This window comes from Homo sapiens, chromosome 5, assembly GCF_000001405.40.
Source record: "Homo sapiens chromosome 5, GRCh38.p14 Primary Assembly".
In the NCBI taxonomy this organism is placed as follows: Eukaryota; Metazoa; Chordata; class Mammalia; order Primates; family Hominidae; genus Homo; species Homo sapiens.
Window position 1 is genome coordinate 104,042,773 of NC_000005.10, and position 22,522 is coordinate 104,065,294.

The 22,522-nt window shown below is 37.9% G+C and overlaps 1 annotated feature.

Annotated features, from left to right (window-relative positions):
• Positions 20,829-21,793: an enhancer, noted in NCBI's record as "OCT4-NANOG-H3K27ac hESC enhancer chr5:103399302-103400266 (GRCh37/hg19 assembly coordinates)". NCBI's record gives its function as "activates a minimal SCP1, AML or CMV promoter by ChIP-STARR-seq in naive H9 embryonic stem cells {active_cell/tissue: H9 hESC(naive)}" and the evidence as "EXISTENCE:reporter gene assay evidence [ECO:0000049][PMID:30033119]".

The window sequence follows — 22,522 nt, forward strand, 5'->3', positions numbered from 1 at the left end:
CTGTCACAGTTGACCTGGCCTCCTCGCTTTACACTTGCTCAGTTTGAAGTCCTTCCTCAGATGTCTACATGACTTCCGTTCTCCTTTTATGCAGGTCTTTACTCAGTAAGGTGTCCTCAGACCACTCTGTCTAACATATTAAGCTTGTATTCTCCAAACACGTTGCCTATTCTCCTCCTTCTTAACATTTATCATTATCTAAAAAGTTGTATATTAACTGAAGTACTGCCAATTTTGGTATGGCATATAAAAAGTTTAGAGGTTGCCGTTCCATCCTAACAACAAAATGCTGGACAACTTACAAAATCAACAACTCTTCTTAGGTCTGTAAGAGAAGTGAGGTTATAGGGCAAACCATTGTCCCCAAAATTGGAAAGACAGAAAAGCAAATACAGAGAATCACAATTTTTGTGACTATTGACAAACTAATTTTATATTTTACATGGAGAGGTTAAAAAAATCCAGAAGATTGGCTAGGCGTGGTGGCTCATGCCTGTAATCCCAGCACTTTGGGAGGCTGAGGCTGGTGGATCATGAGGTCAGGAGATTGAGACCATCCTGGCTAACATGGTGAAACCCCGTCTCTACTAAAAATACAAAAAATTAGCCGAGTGTGGTGGCACATGCCTGTAGTCCTACCTACTCGGGAGGCTGAGGCAGGAGAATCACTTGAACCCAGGAGGCAGATGTTGCGGTGAGCAGAGATTGTGCTGCTGCACTCCAGCCTGGGTGACAGAGCAAGACTCTGTCTCAAAAACAAAAACAAAACCAGAAGATCTAGCACAACATTCAAAAAGAACAAAGTTGGAAGACGGACACTACTCAACTTCAAGGCTTACTATAAAGCTATGGCAATCAAGACAGTGTGGTATTGGCAAAAGAATAGACAAATAAATAAATAGAATGGAATAGAGTCCAGAAATAAACCCACATAAATACAGTCAACAAGCCTTTGACAAAGAGTGCTAAAATGATGTCTATTTTTTTAAAAACTATATATTTTACGTATTTATCCTGTTTCTTGTCTCCCTCCTCCACTGTACGCCCCTTCAAGGTAGGGCTATTTGTCTATTTTGTTTACTGTTGAATTTCCAGTGCTTAGAATAGTGCTGCATTCTGGGCTCTGATGCATATATGTTGAATGCATGAATAAATGCCTTCCCTTTTTGTTTTTCAATCTTATGAGCTTAATCTTCTTTAGTTACTGCAGTTGTTTTGAAGTCTATTATTGCTACCATCAAATTTTCTGGTATAAAGAGATACAACGAGACAGATGGCTTTGTTGTAGTTGATACTTAATGACTTGCTGTAATGAACAGTGAATCCCTAAAACCCAAATGCTGGCACAGATTCTGTACATTCTATCTTTCTGATAAGCCTGCAACATTTCTTGGTAACAAGCAATGCAATTTCAAGGAAATTTTGTATATACTTTTCAATTGGAGAGCCATTTTGTTTTTAGTTTCCCTTTCTTTTCCAAGACACCCTATTCAAGGTAATACAATATGTTCCTTAAATGTAAGCAATGATGGCAGACGGTATTTATTGTTTTGTCTAGAACTATTTTGAAATATTTAGTCAAGGACACACATTGCATTTTAGCAAACATTTCTTTTGGAAGAAAACTATGAACATCAAGTACTACCAAATTGCACTGTCAACTCTATGTATAACTATAAGGAAAAAATAATGCTATTTTTATTGCTATTCTTTTTATAGATTTGATATTATGGATCCTGGGTAAATATGTTATTACTAAAAGCCTACAGGAGTTGACTGAAATATCCCTATTCTTTGCCACGTTTTGGACTTCAGTATAGACTATTACACTGATTTTTGTGGCCAGTAATCCTTGCTATACTTTTCTTCTTCTCAGTGCTCTCATTAGCCTTTTGTCTTTTTTATTCTAATACAAATCACTGTCAAGTTTTAGACTCACTGTCACTAAAATGTAGATCCTTATAAGTCTCTCATGGTGTATCTGTACAAACATTCAGCCTTTTCAAAGGTTACATTATGTGTTCTTCATAACAGCAAGAGAATATGAATTAGAAAACACAAAGAAAACAGCTCTCAAGAAAATTTTATAACTTTTAAATACATTTTTGATGGCTTACATTTTACCAAGATTTGAAATTTTCAATGAAATCCAGAAAATCTTATAGTCATACGGAAAATAAAAATTAGCACTTTTTATGGGATAAAAGTTGTTTATTTTAACAACAAATTAAGGTGAGTAGGTCATGAAAGGTCCATGTTCTTATACTAAGCCAACTTTTTTTGATAGCATAACAGCGTTCCTAACAGTGTTTTAAACAAGACAGCTTTCTCTGAGGATGGGAAAGAAATTTTGATTTTTTTTTCTAAGCTTCCCTTCTTTCCCTGATTCTAGCCTTCCACCAGTTTCCTTCAATTCCAAGTTGTTTGTCTCTATATACTCTATAAAATCTTTTTTCTTTCTGTAGTTCTGGGTAACCATAAATGCCAAGGATGTGTTTCGCATACTCCTTCCTTGCATTGCTCATTTGTGTGTGTGGTGTGTGTGTGTGTGTGTGTGTTTATGTGTGTAAAATTTGAAATAAAATTTTCATCAGTTCATCTTTAAACTTAAAAGCAATCTACGTAAAATGAAAACAGATATGCTTATCTCTTAACATCTTTGACTGGGTTCATTTGGTTTAGAGAAGTTAGGGTGAGGTGCTCAGAATGCTGTTTGAATTGAAATCTGAGATCAGATCCTTTTCTGTGGTCTCCAAGGCACAGATGGAAGCACAATCACATACGGAAAAGCTTTCTTAGGGCTATGACCTTGAATGTCTCTTCAAAAGATGAAGCAACTAATTTAAAAATAAAATGCAAATATTACCTGTTAATTTTGTGCCATATATTCATGTATCTTTCTGAAAAATATGTCATTTAACTGAACTCAAATTTTGATAGTAAAAATTACTTAAACCAATGTAAATATTGGCATACTTTGGAATACATCAAATTCTTTTAAAGTGAATTGCTGCATTGTGTAGGTCTTAAGAATAAAATAGGAAAGAAAAGAGAAGTCTTTACTTTTTAAAATACAATGTTTTTTAAAAAATTAATAAAAAACTAGACAAACAAAAAGGAGCTCTACTTAGCCAGCAATAGATCCAACCAAACTATTTTAAAGCAGTTTTCAGAGCAAATATTATGGAAGACATTTATTCCTCTACATATTTGCCAGTTATCCTTTAACTTCAAGGATACTGCTTGCTGCTTCAGAATAGCTCTGCTGAAGTTGTGTGTATAGAGAAATGGGCATGATTGCTCATTGCAGGGCTAAGTGGCAGCTTAAGACTTAAAGGCACACATTTATAAAGTTCAGAGCTTTCTCAAGTGTCAGTTAGCATGTACTTGATGAAGTAGCTCAGTGAGGAAGCCAGCTGGCCTGCAGTCATACTAACTGCAAGATCAATGATTAATACCAAAGTGTTCACATATTCAAAAGAGAAGTTTAATCCTGTGAAATCCCTTACTGTGCTGCTCTCAAGTTTGATTGGGGATGACAGGTGCCATAAGAGAGCCTCTTGACTAACAGCAAAGAATTGTAACAAGATAATGAACAGAACAAGCTTGAAAAGAACAAGAGAAGAAAAGAAGTGTAGGTGGTGGCAAGAAGAAATCTGAGGAGAAGTCTCCCTTGAAATGTGAAGGTTTCAAGCTGTTTTCAAAATAGAGAAAACATAGAGAATATTTGTATATATGCTTTGAAAATCTTCTGCCAGAAAATTAAAAGTGAGATAAAACATTTAGTTTTGCAATAGATATTTCTCAATATGGATATATCATGTCCTCCATTTCAGAGCAGTACAAGAAAAAATAGAAGTAAAATATGCTGATAGATCTTCACCCCTATAGTGAAACCATGTTTAAACTTTTGTAAAATAGGGTTAAGCATAAGCACTTTGGATAATTTTAAGTTTACTATTTTCTTTTAAAATCATATCCAAAGTATATAGAAACCCATACAGAAATGTGGCAAATTGTTTCCCTATATTTCTTTCCATCAACTAATATACATGCCACTTAATAGTAGTTAATGTAGTATATAGCTCAACAACAACAATGACAACAAAATCACTTAGCAATTGAATACAAAACTTCTTCAAGCCTCAGGGCTATCATCTAAAATTTGAAATAATAATCCAGCTTCTTAAAGATCCTATGAGGCTTAAAAGAGATAACAGATATAAAGTAAAATGTTTGGTGTAGTGTTTAGCACATTCTAAGTGATCAATAAAGGATAGATACTACTATTATTATTTGAGGAAATAGTAAATTAAAATTTCAACTTAGATGTCAATTATAATAGATACATAGATAGATAGATAGATAGATAGATAGAATAGATAAAGAATTCCCAAAGAAAGGTATGAATGGTTTCAAAGTATGCCAAAAAATACTCCTTGGGCAGCTCTAAAATTCAAAGGAGACAATAAAAGGGCTAAAGGAAGAGATTCTTTTGAAGAGATTTATTGTGATATAGTTGCTGAAGTGATTTGACTCTCACTCATTCCTCTTTAAGGGACAGGTTGAGGTGTTCACTTCTAATGTCAATTCTTGTGTGCACTCCCTTCAAGAAGACAATTCTGAAAGCTTGGCTGGTGCCCCAGGAATTGTGGAAAAATGTTGGTAGGGTTATCTGTGCATGTATGAAGTATCCAAAGGATGGAACAGCCCGAGGCCACAGTGTAGAGGGAGCTACTGATGCATTAGGGAGCAAGAGATTAACCTGGCAATGGTGGAGGAAAGTGCAATACCTCCAGAGATGAGTTGTGCAAAACCCAGTGAGAATGCAGGTATTTATTAAATGGGATCTTTCCAAAATGCCTTCTGTTAGAATGTTGGGTGCCCAACAAGGAAAGTCTGTGTAGGTAGGCCCTAGAGGAAACCTGAAGCTGACGTGGATGCAAAAGCAGCCACCCAAGGCAAAAGTACGAGGGTAACAGGAGTACATCAGGGCATTTCTAAAGAATCTCCCAAAATGCCCCCAAAGGAAAAAATCAGAATTAAACAGTAGCCATGCTCAGAGGCTGTAAAATTCTGTAATTACAATGGTCAAATAATAAGTTTACATACTTCTTTCCCTCTTCCTTTTCTCTGTTTCAATTCCAAGGAGCCAAAAACCCCATGTATCAGTCAGATTAGGTGAGTTGCAACAACAAACAAATCTTAAATCTTCTTGGATTAAAACAAAAAGTTTAATTTTTCATTTATGTCATATGCCCTTTGCAAGTCAACAGGAAGTCTCTGCTTATTACAGTACTTGGAAACATAGATCAGTGAAGCTGTACCTACATAAACATTTCAGATTACACAGAAAAGAGACTCAGGAGGATCTCACATTAACAATTAAATGCCAACACTTTATCACTCACAACCTGTCCAGAACTAGCCCTGTGGTCCAGCCAATCACTGTATTCCAGGAAGAGCAATGCCACCTTATATACAGAAGATTGAGAGTGAGAAACAGTTGATAAACATCACTAACAACTGCCATAACCTGCCCTTTGGCCAAAATTAAAAATTTATATACTCTCTCTTTCACAGTCAAAACATGCTACCCTCTTCCTCACAGATACAACCTCAAAGCCTTATCTAATTCTAAAACTGCTGGGGGATGACTAATAGTCTCAGTATCAGGTCTGATATGTTTCCTCTTGACTTTGAGGCCAATGAAAAAAAGGACAAGTTCTCTGCTACCCACACAGACAAAATACAACAATGAAACAGGGACAAAATAACCACAGGAAACAATCCTGTTTGTAAAATGTCTGGCCGATAGCAGACTTACAAACATACTTTAAACGCTCCCTTTTCCTGATGATGGGGAATAGTTTAGGCCCTAATTTTGTACCCCCATTCCCACTAAGAAACCCTTAGTGTTCTCTGTGATAGATACCTGTGTGGTATCTGACCTGTGTCTTTTACAGTATTCTTTGATAACAAAGAATACTTCTCGGAGTTAAGCAGATTTTGAAGCATGTAACTTGCCAACATGTGGTGGGAGACCCAAAGGTCATTTTCAGTCTTAAGCGTTCACAATTTGTTTTAAACAAGGCTGATGGTTTTTTTTGTAGTAGTAATTTCCAAATGACTTAGGAAATTTCTGGACATGAGAACGTAATCAATTTGGTATCAGTCATTTCCATGTTGCAATGGCCATATCCTCAGTTCTCCTCTAGATATATCTCTAAGATTTGCTATATTTCTTTTCTTTCTTTCTTTTTTTTTTTTTTTTACATGGAGTTTCACTCTGTTGCCCAGGCTGGAGGGCAGTGGTGCGATCTCAGCTCACTGTAACCTCCACCTCCTGGGTTCAAGCAATTCCCCTGCCTCAGCCTCCTGAGTAGCTGGGATTACAGGCACGCTCACCAAGCCTGGCTAAGTTTTCTATTTTTAGTAGAGACGGGATTTCACCATGTTGGTCAGGCTGGTCTCCAACTGTTGACCTCGTGATCCACCCGCCTTGGCCTCCCAAAGTGCTGGGATTACAGGCGTGAGCCACCATGCCCAGCAGATTTGCTGTATTTCTATGCTTTTTTCTACTCTTGATTATTTCTTTCTCTAGAATTAACTGTCGGCATTTTGAGCTTTTCATACATCTATGTGATAGCAGCAGGAGGCAGACAAACGCCTAAGCAGATAGGGGCGGGTCCCTGGTGAAACTCCTTCAAGCTCAAAAAACAGCCTGAAGGCTGAAAGACTGGACTGCTGGTCCCAGATGAAGCCCGCGACCCAGAGTGAGAACTTCTGTTCCTGTTTACTTCCCCTTTCCCTATTGATTCTTTCTGAATAAGGCCTCTTAACCAATTGAATGTTGCCTTTTCCAGTACCACCTATGGCCTGCCCTTCCTCTATTCTGAGCCCATAGGTGTCCAGGACTGCCCGGGACTCAGCCACACTGGGGGATCTTTTCAGTCTTTGGGTAGGGAGACCACCCCCGCATCCCTTCTCCGCAGAAAGCTGTTTCATCACTCAATAAAACTCTGCCTTGCTCACTCTTCAATTGTCAGCATATCTTCATTCTTCTTGGGCGCCAGACGAGAGCTCAGGACCCACTGAGTGTGGGTACCCCAAAAGGCTGTCCCATTGCCCTTTTGCCCTTGCCAGCAGAGGGCAGCTGCCCCACGCAATGGGGCCAGGGGCCGATTGAGCTGTGAACACACCATGTCCATTGGGCGGTGGACAGCACAATTAAAAGAGCTAATGAACACACTAACACCCTGCTGGGGCTTCAGGGTTGTGGGTACCCTTGCCTGGGTGCTGCCACATTCCCCTTGAGGTGACATGCCTGGTCTGGCTGTGAGCCCCGCAGGTAGCTTGAACCTTTGTCGGTGCTTGGAGTGGCTGGCCGGATCCTGCACTCACTCACTCGGGCGCTCCCTCCCACAAGGGGCTGAGCATGGCAGGCAGAGTAGACGGGGTACCCCTGCTGCAAGTCTTTTATAGAGGCTGGGAGAAAATTCCTGTGTCATTTGGGAAAGTCACACATTGATCTTATATCTCTGAGCCATGTTGTCCAATTCAAAGCCATTTGGCACCACATTTTCAACTGGGTCTTTGTCCTAAATCTAGTTAAATTTATTTTGTGGTTTTAGCAATGCATGTGAGGACTATACTATTGATTTGATTCTTGCTACAAAATTAAATTTTAATTGTCATTGTTTCCTCAAAGACTTTCTCAGTTTAATTTTTTTCTAGTAGCTGATGAAAAGTGGTTGCATTTTCATTTTTCAGCTCTGAAAGTTCCCAAATTTCAGGACTCTCCTGATTTCTTGTTCCTGTTCTAAAAGCAGCAAATTATTTCCTGACAGACCCTCCTCCTTGCAGTAAGTTGCCAAACTCAGCCAACAACTCAGCCAACAACAACAAAAACACACTGGTAATATTTTGTTTTTTAACCTTTTCCCTTCAAGCTACAAATTCATTAAGTAAATATCTTTTAAGTTATTAACTCAACTGACATTTTACAGGGTCTAATAGCAGTTTCTCTATTGCTTGCTATGTGGTCCCTAAACCAGTGCCACATATTTCTAGTCAGGAGAGGTTACATTGTCCTTGTGTAATGACACAGCCCAAAATATCAGTAATTTAGTAGAACAGTTTATTTTTTGTTGCTATTACATTTCCTTGTGGTTAATGGAATGCGAAGTGAGGATAGGAAGGGAGTGCCTTCTCAGAAGAGACCCAGGTGAATAACTCTCTTGAATGTAGCTGTTCCCCCAGTCCAAAGGAGAGATTTTTGGAGGGTTCTTTATCAACCATTATATATTCTGTTACAAAAGTGACTTATGCCACTTCCTACTTGCAGGTCATTGGCTACAATTATTGACACAGTTGCACCCAGTGACAAAGGGGCCAAGAAATGCAGTTCTCCCATGTGCACTCAGGTGGAAAACATCATGAATGGCTGAGGCAACATGGTTGCTACCAGAGTTAGGAAAGGAAAAGATCATGAAACTAACCTCCCAAGCAATGGGTAGCCTGCTCGATGTTGACCCCTGCCAGGGGAGGAAATAATATTTAATTGTAAATAATGTTCAGAGTTTTGATTATTGCATTATATTGATCACCCTAAGTTGATTATGTTTTATGACTCTAGGTGTCATTGGACTGTTTATTATCAAATAGCAAGAAAAAAATTATGGATCTATCTACAGTTTTCATTCTATGGCCCTACTGGATAAATTTCAAGGTGACAGATGTGAGACACAAACAAATTTTCCTTTTGATGACAAGAGTTGTACCTGTTTGGCCATTAAATGACCATTTAAATCACCATTAAACGCCCACCTCCATCATCATCATCAGTTGCACTTATGTTTATGAAAGCCATGGATTGGTGAGCACATCAGCTCAAGCTCGCCTAGCTGTCATCGGTCAATAATCCATAAAGGAGAAGGAAAAATTTCCTCCAGAATCAAAACCCATGCCTGGCTCTTTGATTGAAAGTACCATACAACAATTCATTTTTAAGTTTTTTTTTTTAATTCTCCGAAGCACTCTGTCTCAGATTGCAAGTACTTTGGTTGCAAGCACTACCAGGTGACTTTGGCAAAATTAAGCTAAAATATATTTAATGGGTGCACATGAGGTAGCTCAGAGGGTTTAAATGAGGGCTAAAGAACTAAACTTGAAACAGATATGAAAAGGAAGCTGTAGAGACTCAGTGGCACTGATTGTTAGGTTGTTTCTACATTGCTAAGATGAATAAACAAATTCCAAATTTTCTCTTGTCTTAGTCACTCCTCTAATGATTCAATTTCTGAAGAGAGAGGGTTGATTGGTTAAACTTAGTTTGATTACTTGCCCACTCATTCTTTACTGTATCTTTGCAGTGAGAAGAATTATGTAGTTTTGATGGAAGAAGTCTCCAGGGTTACAAATTTTCTCTTCTTCTGTTGGTGGCAGAGCACAGTACCTTATGTTACCATTCTTAGGAACAGTGATAGTGGTTGTGTGGTAGCCATAAAACAAAACAAAAATGCCTGTAATCAGTTCACCTTGTTGTATGAATGTAAAATGTTTGAAGAATATAACTTTAATATTTTTCTCCTTAATGTAAAGAGCAACATTTTCAGAAAAATATTCTGGGAAGAAGTTTTGGGTCAATAACATGCTTCCTAGGTAAATTATCAACAACAAGGTACAAAAAGACATGCTTGAAAAAAATGATAAAATCATCTTATCTAAGCCACTTGATTCTTGATCCCCTCTTTCCTGGTATTGCATTCTGCTTTGAAAACCAAGCAGAGTAGCAACTAAAAGTTTCAGGCTTTATAAAGACATGTCTTTGGGAAAATTTCCTGCTCTGTCCCCAGATTTAGCCATTCCCTAGATGCTGGTAACCTAATGTAATTTCCTCAATGCAAATCAACTGATTTATTTGAGCCTTTCCCTGACCCTGACTATTAATTCTTGATGGAGGCGAGGCCCCGAGGTTGGTAATGCGATGGTAGCGGACGGAGTGAATTATGATTGTGTTGATTTCTTGGAGCCTTCTATAACACGTTGAAGGATTATTCAATGCCTTGTCATTACAAATAAGCTAGTACAAAACAAAGATGCAGTATTCATTCGATCTATAATACAAGTATTAGAGCTAACATGGTAGAATGGGGGAAGCTCTAGAAAAAAAGGAAAACTATGTTTTCTTTCTGCATGAAAGACAGCAAGAAAAAGCTACTTTAACATGCATTGTGTGTTGATGTTTTCTGTGCATTTCTCTGTCTATGCATAAAAAATTAAACCTTTTGACTGGTTAGCAGTTGGCCATGATTCATTTTTATTCACCACTGTCCATAACTGGATTAAATAATTATAATTCATCTTAACCATCTGAGACTCTCCCTGACATTTGGATGCCTCTGCCCTGCTGCTCACTTATGCTTAAGTTTGTACCTGCTCATTAACTGATTTGTCCTAAAAATAACTTTGAAAGTCTCAGTTCCTGAGCTGTTAGCAGTTAGCCTACAAAGCTAAGGTTATAAAATCAGCATCTGGCTAGAGCTCAAAAAGCTGACTCTGTTCTCATTTTTAAGGCTAAGATAAAGAAATGTATATTTAAACCTGCTTCTAATTAGCTCTTAAACTGTAAATCACTGAAGGCTATCATGAAGGAGGTGTCTCATCGTACTGAAGGGTTTGTTACTTCATTCCTGGCTTCAGAATTCATTATGAATTAGACATGTGAAAGCTACCATCTCTTGCCTATCCCACAAAATCTCAAGGTAAAACACGTAGTAATGGCACTCTGTTTTGTGGTTAAATATTTCCATGCAGAAGTTTTGCATTTTTAAGAAATAAACTTATCAACCTACTTTAAATTGATTTAATTCTAGATATTTCAGAATCACTGCATTTGGGAGTGCCAGAATTTATTTGATAATATTTGCATTTCATCTTTAAGTATTTACAAGTTTGGCTAAAACAATTCTTAACTTTTATAGCAAAAGACAATTCAGAGATAATTCCATGTATATAAATATTCTAGAGAAAAGAAACATTTTCTCTTTCTCCTATGTTCACATGGGGGCATAATGGGTAATTTCCTTTCTGAAAAAGAAGCAAAACTACTTTATATTTTAATACTAATTAATTAGACATTTAATTCAATTAAATAGACTGGTTAGCAAAATCAAGCTGTGGTGAAGAGTAGAGGACAAAGTTGAACAATTTGAAATATTAGAGTTTACAGTTAAATTGTATAATATTTTGTATAAGTCTTCATCCACTGATTTGTCACTTGTAGTTTGTACAATTGTTGGTTCACAAAACATTATTTTGTATTCTAAACTACGTGACGACAGACATCTTTAAGTGCTTCTCTTTTTATATCTAGTGAATAACTTAGCATATATAATGAGCTAGATAAAAATGCTTATTAAGGGTATTAATATTCTATAATTTTTAATAAATTATCATCCTAAATATTTATACAATTCTCATAGTGTGTTGTCTCTTTTTGTCTCTAAGAAGAGACTATTTATCTGAATAAAGTTTAATACACAGGTACAATATGAATTTTCTTCCTAAGTCTCAGTTACCTCAGGTTAAATGACATTTCAAACAGAGACTATAACTGTTTTTATTATTTTGTTGTTCCTTATTATTGTTATAAAATAAAGCATAAATAATATAAATTAAAACATTTCAGAGAGATGCAGAGAAAAGTGAAATTTATGCTTAATAAACATGATATCCCACTATACTGATTAGTACAACAGCCATAAGCAATATTTTATGTTTATTCAGAAACTTCGCAAGTATGCACATGTAGCTGTAATTATTGTAGAGATATAAAGGAAAAATACATACACATATAATATGCATAAAGTACTGTTATGGACTGAATTGTATTCCCCCACAAATTCATATGTTGAAGCCTTATCCCCCAATGTGCTTATAGTAGGAGACTGGACCTTTGAGGCCATCAGGGTGGGGCCCTGGGATTAATGACTTTATAATAAAGAGACACGAGAGAGCTTGCTTGCTTTCCTTCTGCCATTTGAGAACATAGCAAGAGGGAAGTCTTCTGTCTGCAAGTCAGGAAGGGGGCCCTCACTAGGAACTGATTATGCTGGCAATTTGATCTCAGACTTTCAGCTTCCAGAACTGTAAAAAATAAATTTATGTTGTTTAAGCCTCACAATCTATGTCGTTATGGCAACCCAAGTTGACTCAAACAGGTGTGATATAAAGGGGATGTATATGTCCCTTGAAAACTACTTTTGCATTTGAAGTTTTCTATCCAATGACAAAACTGAGAGATCCGTTCATATCAACATATATGAAGATAGTTAATCACTGATCAGGATTCTGTCATACAAAATTATAATTTAACTTACCAAGTCCCTATAGATAAACATGTACGTTGATTCTGGATCTCAGCTATTACGGACAACATTTTAGTGTACATTCTTGTAGGCACATCTTTGAGTAAAGCAGAATATATTTCTATGGTAGAATCCTAGAAATGCTTCTATAATTCTATCTAAATGATTCTATGATATAATCATAGAAATGATCCTCTGGGTAGATACCCAGTAGTGAGATTGCTGGATCAAATGGTGAATCTACTCTTAGTTCTTTAAGGAATCTCCATACTGTTTTCCACAGTTGTTGTACTAAGATTTTGGTGCACCTATCACTCGAGCAGTGTCCACTGCACCCAATATATATAGTCTTTTATCCCTCACCTCCCTCCCACCCTTCTCCCTGAGTCCCTAAAGTCCATTGTTTCCTTCTTATGCCTTTGCGTCCTCATAGCTTAGCTCTGACTTATAAGTGAGAATATATGACATTTGGTTTTCTATTCCTGAGTTACTTCACTTAGAATAATGGTCTCCAGTTCCAACCAGGTTGCCGTAAATGTCATTATTTCATTCCTTTTATGGATGAGTAGTATTCCATGGTGTATATGTATGTGTGTGTGTGTGTATCATTTTCTTTATCCACTTGTTCTTTGATGGGCATTTGGACTGGTTCCATATTTTCACAATTGTGAATTGTGCTGGTATAAACATGCATGTGCAAATGTCTTTTTCATATAAAGACTTCCTCTGGGTCAATACCTAGTAGGGGGATTGCTGGATCAAATGGTGGATCTACTTTTAGTTCTTTAAAGTATCTTCATACTGTTTTCCATAGTTATTGTACTAATTTACATTCCTACCAGAAGTGTAAAAGTGTTCCCTTTTCATCACCTCACAACATCTATTTTTTTTTTATTTTAAAATTATGGCCATTCTTGCATGAGTAAGGTGATATTGCATTGTGGTTTTGATTTGAATTTCCCTGATAATTAGTGGTGTTGAGCATTTTTTTCATATGTTTGTTGGCCATTTGTCTATTTCTTTTTGAGAATTGTCTATTCATGTCCTTAGCCCACTTTTTGATGTGATTATTATTTTTTTTTCTTGCTGATTTGTTTAAGTTACTTGTGGCTTCTGGATACTAGTCCTTTGTCAAACGCATAGTTTGCAATGATTTTCTCCCATTCTGTGGGATGTCTGTTTACTCTGCTGATTATTTCTTTTGCTGTTCAGAAGCTTTTTAGCTTTATTAAGTATAATCTATTTATCTTTGTTTTTGTTTTTGTTGAATTTGCTTTTGGTTTATTGGTCGTGAAATCTTTGCCTAAGCAAATGTCTAGAATTTTTATGGTTTCAGGCCTTAGATTTAAGTCTTTAATTCATCTTGAGTTGACTTTTGTGTAAGGTAAGAGATGAGGATCCAGTCTCATTCTTCTACATGTGACTTGCCAATTATCCCAACACCATTTGTTGAATAGAGTATCCTTTCCCCACTTCATGTTTTTGTTTGCTTTGTTGAAGATCAAAGTATTTGGCTTTATTTCTGAGATCTCTATTCTATTCCATTGGTCTACGTGCCTAGTTTTATACCAGTACTATGCTGTTTTGGTGAATATAGCCTTGTGGTATATTTTGACACTGGGTAAAGTGCTGCCTCCCAATTTGCTTTTTTTGCTTAGTCTTGCTTTGGCTCTGCAGGCTCATTTTTGGCTCCATATGAATTTTATGATTGTTTTATCTAGTTCTGTGAAGAATGAAGGTGGTATTTTGATGGTAATTGTATTGAATTTGTAGATTGATTTTGGCAGCATGGTCATTTTCACAATATTGATTTTACCCATCCATGAGCATGGGATGTGTTTCCATTTGTTTGTGACATCTATGATTTCTTTCAGTAGTGTTTCATAGTTTTCTTTGTAGAGGTTTTTTTACCTCCCAGTTTAGGTATATTCCTAAGTATTTTATTTGTTTTTCAGCTATTGTAAAAAGGGTTGAGTTCTTGATTTGATTCTCAGCTTGGTGTATAGCAGTGCTACTGATATGTATACATCGATTTTTGTATCCTGAAACTTTACTGAATTCATTTATTAGATCTAGGAGCTGTTTGGATGAGTCTTTAGGGTTTTCTAGGTATGCAGTCATATCATCAGCAGTGACCATTTGACTTCCACTTTACCAAACTGAATGCCTTTTTTATTTCTTTCTGGTATCTGATTGCTCTGGATAACACTTTCAGTACTATGTTGAATAGAAGTGGTGAAAGTGGGCATCTTTGTCTTGTTTCAGTTCTCAGGAGGAATGCTTTCCACTTTTCCCCATTTAGTATAATGTTGGCTGTGGGTTTATCGTAGATGACTTTTATTACCTTTAGGTATGTCCCTTCTATGCCAATTTTGCTAAGGGTTTTACTCATAAAGGGATGCAGATTTTGTCACATGCTTTTTCTTCATCTATTGAGATGATAAAGTAATTTTTGTTTTCAATTATGTTTATGTGGTGTATTACATTTATTGACTTGTGTATGTTAAACCATTCCTGCATCCCTGATATGAAACCCACTTAATCATGGTGTGTTATCTATTTGATTCTGCTGGAGTCAGTTAGCTATTACTTTGTTGAGGATTTTTGCATCTATGTTTATTAGGAATGTTGGTCTGTAGTTTTCTTTTTTTGTTATGTCCGTTCCTGATTTTGGTATTAAGGTGATACTGGTTTCATAGAATGATTTAGGGAGGATTCCCTCTTTCTCTATTTTGGAATAGTTTCAATAGGATTATCACCAATTCTTCTTTGAATGTCTGATAGAATTCAGCTGTGAATTAATCTCATCCTGAACTCTTTTTTGTTGGCCAATTTTTTATTACCATTTCAATCTCACTGCTTGTTATTAATCTGTTCAGAGTTTCTATTTCTTCCTGGTTTAATCTAGAAGGATTGTATATTTCCAGGAATTTATCTATCTCCTCTAGGTTTTCTAGTTAGTGTGCATAAAGATATTCATAGTAGCCTTGAATGATCTTTTGTATTTCTGTGGTATTGGTTGTAATATCTCCTCTTTCATTTCTAATTGAGATTATTTGGATTTTCTCTCTTTTTCTTCGTTAATCTTGCTAATGGTGTATCTATTTTGTCTATCTTTTGAAAGAACAGACTTTTTATTTATCTTTCGTATTGCTTTTTTTTAAATTTCATTTAGTTCTGCTCTGATCTTTGTTATTTCTTTTCTTCTGCTGTGTTTGGGTTTGGTTTGTTCTTGTTTCTCTAGTTCCTTGACGTGTGACCTTAGATTGCCTATTTGTGCTCTTTCAGGCTTTTTGATGTAGGTATTTAATGCTATAAACCTTCCTCTTAGCACTGCTTTTGCTGTATCCCAGAGGTTCTGATAGGTTTTGTCACTAGTATAATTCAGTTCAAATAATTTTTTAATTTCAATCATGATTTCATTGTTGACCTAACAATCATTTGGAGCAGATTACTTAATTTTCATGTATTTGCATGGTTTTGAGTGTTCCTTTCTGAGTTGATTTTTAATTTTCTTCCACTGTAGTTTGAGAGAGTACTTGATATGATTTCAGTTTTCTTAAGTTTATTGAGACTTCTTTTGTAACTTGTCATATGGTCTATCTTAGAGAATGCTCTGTGTGCTGATGAATAGAATGTATATTTGGCAGTTGTTAGGTAGAATGCTCTGTAAATATTCATTACATTTATATGTTCTAGGGTATAGTTTTGTTATAGGAAAGCAAGTTTATTAAGAAAGTAAAGGAATAAAAGGATGACTACTCCATAGAGCAGCACCAAGGGCTGCTGGTTGCCCATTTTTATGCTTATTTTTTGATGATATGGTAAACAAGGGGTGGATTATTCATGCCTCCCCTTTCTCGACCACATAGGGTAACTTCTTGCCATTGCCATGGCATTTGTAAACTGTCATGGCACTGGTGGGAGTGTAGCAGTGAGGACGTCTAGAGGTCACTCTCGTCGCCATTTTGGTTTTGGTCAGTTTTGGCCGGCTCCTTTACTGTAAACTGTTTTATCAGCAAGGTCTTTATGATCTGTATTTTGGGCTGACCTCCTATCTGATCCTTTGACTTAGAATGCCTTAACCATCTGAGAATGCAGCCCAGTAGGTTTCAGCCCCATTTTACCCAGCTCCTATTTAAGATGGCATTGCTCTGGTTCACACGCCTCTGACAGTTTAAGTCCATTGTTTCTTTGCTGACTTTCTGTCTTGATGGCCTGTCTAATGCTGTCAGTGGAGTATTTAAGTCCTCCATTATTATCGTGTTGCTGTCTATCTCATTTCTTAGGTATAGTAGTAATTGTTTTATAAATTTGGGAGCTCCAGTGTAAGGTGTATATATATTTATGATTATGATATTTTTCCTGTCAGACTAGTCCTTTTATCATATAATGTCCTTCTTTGTTTTTTTTAACTATTGTTTCTTTAAAGTCTGTTTTCTCTGATATAAGAATAACTATTCCTGCTCACTTTGGGTGACATGGAATGTCTTTTTCCACCCCTTTACCTTAAGTGTATGTGAGTCCTTATGTTTTAGGTGAGTCTCTTGAAGACTGCAGATACTTGGTTGGTGATACTTATCCATTCTGCCATTCTGTAGCTTTTAAGTGGAGTATTCAGGCTATTTACATTCAATGTTCAAATTGAGATGTTAGGTACCGTTGTACTCATTATACTAGTTGTTGCCTGAATACCTTGTTGTTGTTGTTCTATTGTGTTATTGTTTTATAGGCCCTATGAAGTGTATGCTTTAAGGAGGTTCTTTTTTGGTGTGTTTTGATGCTTTGTTTCAATAATTAGAGCCGTTTTTAGCAGTTCTTGTGGTACTGGCTTGATTGTGGTAAATTCATTCAGCATATGTTTGTCCAAAAAAGACTTTATTCTTCCTTCATTTATGAAGCTTAGTTTGGCCAGATTCAACATTCTTGACTGATAATTGTTTTGTTCAAAAAGGCTTTAAAGATCAGTCTCCAATCCCTTTTAGCTTGTGGGGTTTCTACTGAGAAATCTGCGTTAATCTGATAGGTTTTCCTTTACAGGTTACCTGATGTTTTTGCCTCACAGCTCTTAAGATTATTTCCTTTGTCTTGAATTTAGATAACCTGATGACTGTGTACCTAGGTGATGATCATTTTGTGGATAAATTTTCTGGGTGTTATTTGAGCTTCTTGTGTTTGGTTGTCTAGAACTCTAGCAATGCCAGGGAAGTTTTTCTCAATTATTCCCTCAAGGAAGTTTTCCAAACTTTGATATTTCTCTTCTTCCTTGGGAACACAAATTATTCTCAGGTTTGGTCATTTAGTATAATCCCAATCTTCTTGGAGGCTTTGTTTTTGTTTGTTGGTTTTTGTTTGTTTGTTTATTCTTTGATGCTTTTTTCCTTATCTTATTGGGTTAATTCAAAAGCCTTGTCTTCAAGCTCTGAAGTTCTTTTTTCTACTTGTTCTATTCTGTCATTGAAACTTCCCAGTGCATTTTTTATTTCTCTAAGTGTGTCTTTCATTTCCCAGAAGTTGTGATTGTTTTTTTGTTCATGCTATCTATTTTTATGGAGGCTTTTTGGTCCACATCCTGTATTATTCTTCAACTTTCTTTTAGTTCATTTTCACCATTCTCTGGTGCCTCCTTGAGTAGCTTAATAATTGACCCTCTGAATTCTTTTTCTGGTAATTCAGAGATTGCTTCTTGGTTTAGATCCATTGCTGGTGACCTAGTGTGATCTTTTGGTGGTACTAAAGAATTTTGCTTTTTTATATTACCAGAATTGTTTTTCTGGTTCTTTCTCATTTGGGTAGACTGTGTCAGAGGAAAGACCTGGGTCTCAACACACTGCTGTTCAGATATTTTTTTCCACAGGGTGATCCCTTGATGTGGTATTCTCTCTCTTCCCTTAGGGATGGGGCTTCCTGAGAGCTGGAATACAGTTATTGTTATTGCTCTTCTGGGTCTAGCCTCTCCACAGAGCTACTGGGCTCTGGGCTGGTACTGGGAAGTGTCTGCACAGAGTCTTGTGACGCAATTCATCTTCAGGTCTCTCAGCAATGGATACCAGCACCTGCTTCAGTGAAGGTAACAAGGGAGTAAAGTGGACTCTGTGAGGGTCCTTGGTTACAGTTTTTTTTAGCGTGCTGATTCTTGAATGCTTGTTGTGCTAGCAGTGAAGCTGTCTTGTGGACAGACGCAAGACCTCTGGTTAGCCAGGATGTTACAGGCGGTGGAATTAACTGTTGTTTTCTCTCTTCTTGGAGCAGGTTTATTCTTGTATTAATTGCTGTAATGACTTGAGTTGGTTGGCCTCCAGTCAGGAGGTGGCACTTTCAAGAGCGCATTAGTGGTAGTATAGGGGTATGGGAGCTAGCTCTAAGATCACCCGAATAAATATTTGAATTTCTCAGATGATGGGCAGGGCCATAGAACTCCCAAGAGATTATGTCTTGTGTCTTCAGCTACCAGAGCGGGTAGAGAAAGACCATTAGGTGGGGGCAGGGTTAGGTGTGTTTGAGCTCAGACTCTCCTTGGGTGAGGCTTGCTGCAGCCACTGTGGGGGATGAGGGTGTGGTTCTCAGCCTAATGGAGTTATGTTCCTGGGGGGATTATGGCTGCCTCTCCTGCATCATAGAGATCACCAGGGAAGTAGGTGAAAGCTGGCAGTGACAGGACTCACTCAGTTCCCATGTAGCCAGCAAGGCCAGTCTCACTCCCACCATACCCACCAACAGCACTGAGTTTATATCCAGGCAGCTGGTAAGGAGGACTGTGATCTTTCCCCAGGCTACGAGCATCCCTGCTGGGATTTCAGACCCTCCCTCTCCCCACCTGTCTTGACTTCTGTGCTCCTATCTGCACTTGTAATTCGTGCCTAGCCCGCCTCCCCCCACCCCTCACCCTGCCTGGATTCTGCCCAGGAAAATCTGTGCTCAATTGAAATTATTACAAAGTTCAGCTGGAAGTTTCCTTCTCCCTGTGGTCCTTCCCCAGTTTCACTGGCAGCCCTCCCCAAGGACCCGTGTGAGATAAAGTCAGAAATGGTTTCCCTGCCAACCAGGAGTGTCTATAGGGCTCTTCCCACTGCTTCTTCTACTTGTATATTTCCCTCAGCTCTCTAAATTTGTTTTGGCTCTAGGTAATGAAACTGCCTTTGCAAAATCATGACTGAGACAGTGAAAAAGGTCTAACTTAACTGACTCCATCTTGTTTCTAACCTCCAAGCTGTCCTTGTTCATTCCAAAGTTAGGCTGAACTAACTTTGGGAGAAATTTAATTTATAGTTTATAGTTTAAACAAAGACAGTAACAGCCCTTTCCCAAAGCAGACCTCCTTCTTGCCTGGGGACTAGATTGCCTTTGTAGGACTAACATTAGCCACAAGATTTGAAATTATGGTTTAGGAGTCATGCAGCTGGAGGCTACAAGATTCTGACCCTTTCTAAACTGCTCCTAAATTCAGTGCTTGAGATATTTTGCAGACTTGCACTTGATGGATTAGCTGGCATCACCCAGATCAATAAACTGGCTCACCTGATCTTGTGGCCCCACCCAACAACTGACTCAGTGCAAGAAGACAGCTTTAACTCCCCATGATTTCATATCTGACACCTGGCTCAGGAGTCAATCAATCAGCACTCCTGGCTCACTGGCTCCCCACAACCCACCAAGTTATCCTTAGAAACTCTGCTCCCTGAATGCTGGGGAGACTGATTTGAGTAATAATAAAACTCTGGTCTCCCACACAGCCGCCTCTGCGTGAATTACTCTTTCTCTATTACAATTCCCCTGTCTTGATGAATCAGCTCTGTCTAGGCAGCAGGCAAGGTGAACCCCGTGGGCGGTTACAGTAAGGTTAAATCTTTCTCCTGTGATCTGGATTTTCAGGTTCCCCAGTGAGGATGTGTGCTCGAGGTGGACTTTCCCCCCTCACACTTTGGCTACTCAGTTTTTTGGCCGTCTTATGGAGTTTGCAGTGACAAGCTGCCTCTTTCAAAGGGTCTGTGAATTCTTTCAGTTTTCCTGGTATGTTCCTGTGGTAGTTCTTCAGCAAATGTTTACAAAGGGAGTCTCTACACGCTGTTCTGTCTATCCGAGTGGGAACTGCAAGTTAGTACTGCCTCCTATCTGCCTTTTTTTCCTGTAAGTTATTTTTTGAGTAAATTTAGGTAATTTATATTTTTCTAAAAAATCTGTTTTATCCAGATTTTAAGGCTAATATGAATATGTTTTAGCGAAGGATTTTATTTCCCAATGTAACAGTTTTTCCATTTTTACTTTTAAACTAGCATTTTTTTTTTTTTATCTTTCCAGTCTCCTTTGTTTAACTAGTGGATTATCTAGTTTCTTTTCCAAAAAAAATCTTTTTTTTTCAAATATTCCTTAAGGTTTCAAATTTATTAATCTCTACTTTTTAAAATTAAATGATCTCTGCTTTCCTTACACTTCTTTGCATTTTCTAACTTCTTTAGATGAATGTTTAATTAATTTTTCAAGACTATATGTTTCATGCGTGTCCGTGTGAAGAGACCACCAAACAGGCTTTGTGTGAGCAACATGGCTGTTTATTTCACCTGGGTGCAGGCGGGCTGAGTCTGAAAAGAGAGTCAGCGAAGGCAGATAAGGGTGGGGCCGTTTTATAGGATTTGGGTAGGTAAAGGAAAATTACAGTCAAAGGGGGTTTGTTCTCTGGCGGGCAGGAGTGGGGGTCGCAAGGTGCTCAGTGGGGGTGCTTTTTGAGCCAGATGAGCCAGGAAAAGGACTTTCACAAGGTAATGTCATCACTTAAGGCAAGGACCGGCCATTTACACTTCTTTTGTGGTGGAACGTCATCAGTTAAGGTGGGGCAGGGCATTTTCACTTCTTTTGTGATTCTTCAGTTGCTTCAGGCCATCTGGGCATATACATGCAAGTCACAGGGGATGCGATGGCTTGGCTTGGGCTCAGAGGCCTGACATTCCTGCCTTCTTATATTAATAAGAAAAATAAAACAAAATAGTGTTGAAGTGTGGGGGCGGTGAAAATTTTTGGGGGGTGGTATGTATGGAGAGAGAGAATGGGTGATGTTTCTCAGGGCTGCTTCGAGCTGGATTGGGGCGGCGTGGGAACGTAGAGTGGGAGAGATTAAGCTGAAGGAAGATTTTGTGGTAAGGGGTGATACTATGGGGTTTTTAGGAGAAACATTTGTCGTGTAGAGTTATTGGTGATGGCCTGGATACGGTTTTGTATAAATTGAAAAACTAAATGGAATAAGAGAAGGAGAAAAACAGCTATAAAAGGCCTAAGAATTGGGAGGAGCCAGGACATCTGATTAGAGAGTGCCTAAGGAGATTCAGCATAGTCCTGCCAGCAAAGATTATTTATTTACTTCAAGAATTTAGAGTGGCGGTTTGGGGATAGCACCAGGAGATATTAGCTGTGATGGCTTGGAGAAACAGTGTAAACAAGAGCAGAGCAAGTATGAGTAGTTGAGAACGGTGAATAGGAGTATGACTAGACAGAAGATAGTAGGGATGACAAGTTTTTTGGGGCACAGTCTAAGTTGGTCTGGTGTCTGGAATGAGACTGGGGCCTAATAAAAGGGAACGTCTATACAGGAGCTTAAATGGGCTGTACCTTGTAGCATTCCAAGGATAGGCCTGAATTCTGAGAAGCGAAAGTGGTAAAAGTATCGTCCAGTCCTTTTTAAGTTGGTGGCTGAGCTTGGTGAGGTGTGTTTTTAAAAGACCATTAGTCTGTTCTACTTTTCCTGAAGACTGAGGACTATAAGGAATATAAAGGTTTCACTGAATACTAAGAACCTGAAAAACTGCTTGGCTGATTTGACTCATAAAGGCTGGTCTGTTATCAGACTGTATAGAGGTGGGAAGGCTAAACTGAAGAATTATGTCTGACAGAAGGGTAGAAATGACTGTGGTGGCCTTCTCAGACCTTGTAGGAAAGGCCTCTACCCATCTAGTGAAAGTGTCTACTTAGACTAAGAGATATTTTAGTTTTCTGACTCAAGGCATGTGAGTAAAGTCAATTTGCCAGTCCTGGGCAGGGACAAATCCCTGAGCTTGATGTGTAGAAAAGGGAGGGGGCCTGAACAATCCATGAGGGGTAGTAGAATAGCAGATGAAACACTGAGAAGTGATCTCCTTCAGGATAGATTTCCGTGATGGAAA